This window comes from Homo sapiens, chromosome 6 (assembly GCF_000001405.40).
Source record: "Homo sapiens chromosome 6, GRCh38.p14 Primary Assembly".
NCBI lineage: Eukaryota > Metazoa > Chordata > Mammalia > Primates > Hominidae > Homo > Homo sapiens.
Window position 1 is genome coordinate 16802533 of NC_000006.12, and position 2312 is coordinate 16804844.

A 2312-nucleotide genomic window follows, 5' to 3' on the forward strand; every position below is an offset into this window, starting at 1 on the left:
TATAGCACATTTTTGCCAACATTTACCAATGTGCTACCAACTGTGAATTTGTGCAAAGAATCATGCATAGCATTTCAAGGTGATAATCCCATATGTAACATTTTGCTAGGTCTCTTTCAGGGAAGTTTTCATGGCCCTCAATGGATTGTACTCCACAAACCAAGGTCTGAAGAAGACTAGAATGCTGGGTGAAACTGAAAGTGGTGGGTTTCATAGAAAATCATGGGAAAATATCTTTACAGACTCAAAAAATCCAAATAAACAAGAGAAGCACTCTGAATAGCAGGTCAGATGTTCTATGCAGATAGTTTTAAATGGAACTTCAGATAAATACTGAATGTTCCATTTTAGATTCACGTACAGGAGTTAAAGTAAAATTTTCTCTTCCTTCATATTGATAATGGCCCAAGCTGATCCAACACAGACAAATTAACATGTTGTAAATATCCTGAAGGAAAAGTTGATAAATCAGCTCCTGTTCTTTTCACTTTAGGGAGAGTTTTATCAGATGATAAATAGTGGAAATGTATCTATTCTGAACTCAGAATCACTGCTTTGCAAAAAAGTCATTTTTAAGCTAGTTTACAAGTTCAAATCATTTCAAAGCTGGCTTCCTTTTTTAGTGGGCAGTCATTGAAGTAGGGGAAAAGGGGATGATCTGGAGACTTTACTGAAAGTGGTTGCGGTAAAGTAATTCCCAACACTTCTGCCTGGCTGCCTTCTTGTCTCCCTTCCCCACACCCTATAGACATCCATGTTGGTTTTAAAAGCCACATAACTCAGAGAAAAAAATTAGCTGGGTGGAAGGTAGGCTTAGCCAAGACTCCACGTGGCAGCCAAGGTACAGGCCTCAGGAGGCCGCTGATCTGTCATTCAGCTCCGAGAATTCCTGCTCCTCCCCGCTTTGCCCTGGAAAGAGCGCTCTTGGGCTGCTGCTGAGAGCTCAGCCTGAAACCTCGCGTTCAGGTTCATTACTACTTCAGCAGTTTGCAGCAGGGAGACAGGGCAGAATCCTGCTCTGATTGGCTGTCGTCCTCTGACTTAACAGCGGCCCAGCAAATCACTAGCCTGTACTCCAAGAGCATAAAGATGAATTGTAACAGCCAAGGCCCTGGGGGAGAAAAAAAGAGCAACCACCACCAAAACAAAACCGTGCACGCAGCCTCTGGAGGGACCCCGGAGAGCCCGCTCTCCTCTGCAGGAAGCCCTTCTGGGCAGGCCCGTTTGCACCCCAACGCCTGGGCACTCCGCTGAGTTCATACCATTTTCAAAGTAGGTCATTCAAAGTCATCTCAGCAGAGGAGGGAGAAGCTGTGAGCAACTGTCATCAGAGCCTGGGAGGAGGCCCAGACCTTGCACTGGAGGGTGGGGAACATAAGGCTGGGGCCGCTGGGGCAGGAGGCGGCTACTGAGATGCTCGCTCGCCTTTCTCAAACAGCGACAGAGGCTTAAGCAGATCCACTCCCTTTGCTGTTCACAATCGGTCAGGGACTAACTGTTCCAGGCAAACCTCTAGCAGGACTTAAATGATAACCTGAATGAAAATTCACTCTAAGGAGGATGATGTCATCTTTATTCAGCTCTTTGTTCTACGTGTTCAGAAAATTCATTGTTATTTATGAAGCACGTGGGGTTTTTCTAAGAAGGCATGCTGCTACCCCCTGAGGAGAAGGCAAGTAAAAATACATGGATGTATGCAAAATTTTCCTAACTAATGTAGCAGGGAAAATACATACAAAACAAATGCATGTATCATTAGAAATATATACCTCGTACATGAAACACATAAAACTCACACAGTGTCATTCACTCTCACACTGATCAAAAAGGAAACCCCACTTTCTTGATCCGTGACATGCATAGACACATGTCAAATGAGTGCTTGCAAAATATACATTGTCTTTAAACATGACCTACCTTCAGGTATCATTAAGAAGTTACCTTTGCTGTGCTATTTCCTTCATCCTGTAATACCCTCCCTTTCCTCTTCTGGCAAAACCTACCCACCTTTCAAAACTCCTTTTAAATCCTTCCTCTTTAGGAAACATTCTCTGTCTCCTGATTCTCAGTGATTATTTCTCTCCAGCCAGAACCCCTGCAGCAATAAAAGTAGCCAATACCACACACCTAGGTATAGCTTTCATACCATGCGGTTGCTCTCTAATTGTTTATTGCACCATAACTCCTAGAAAGCAGGGGCAGTGTCTCATACTTCAATTGTACATCCCACATATTTAGCACCAACCTATTGCTTTAAGGACAACGGAGAAATGAAGGGGAGGAGGAAGGGAGAAAACTAACATTTATCGAAT

General features: G+C 43.7%; 3 annotated features.

The window, feature by feature from the left end:
* Window positions 766-1060: an enhancer, noted in NCBI's record as "tiled region #2171; K562 Activating non-DNase unmatched - State 21:Repr". NCBI's record gives its function as "activates a minimal TATA promoter and a strong SV40 promoter by Sharpr-MPRA in K562 cells {active_cell/tissue: K562}" and the evidence as "EXISTENCE:reporter gene assay evidence [ECO:0000049][PMID:27701403]".
* Window positions 766-1100: a biological region, named in NCBI's record as "Sharpr-MPRA regulatory regions 2171 and 6041".
* Window positions 806-1100: a silencer, noted in NCBI's record as "tiled region #6041; K562 Repressive non-DNase unmatched - State 21:Repr". NCBI's record gives its function as "represses a minimal TATA promoter and a strong SV40 promoter by Sharpr-MPRA in K562 cells {active_cell/tissue: K562}" and the evidence as "EXISTENCE:reporter gene assay evidence [ECO:0000049][PMID:27701403]".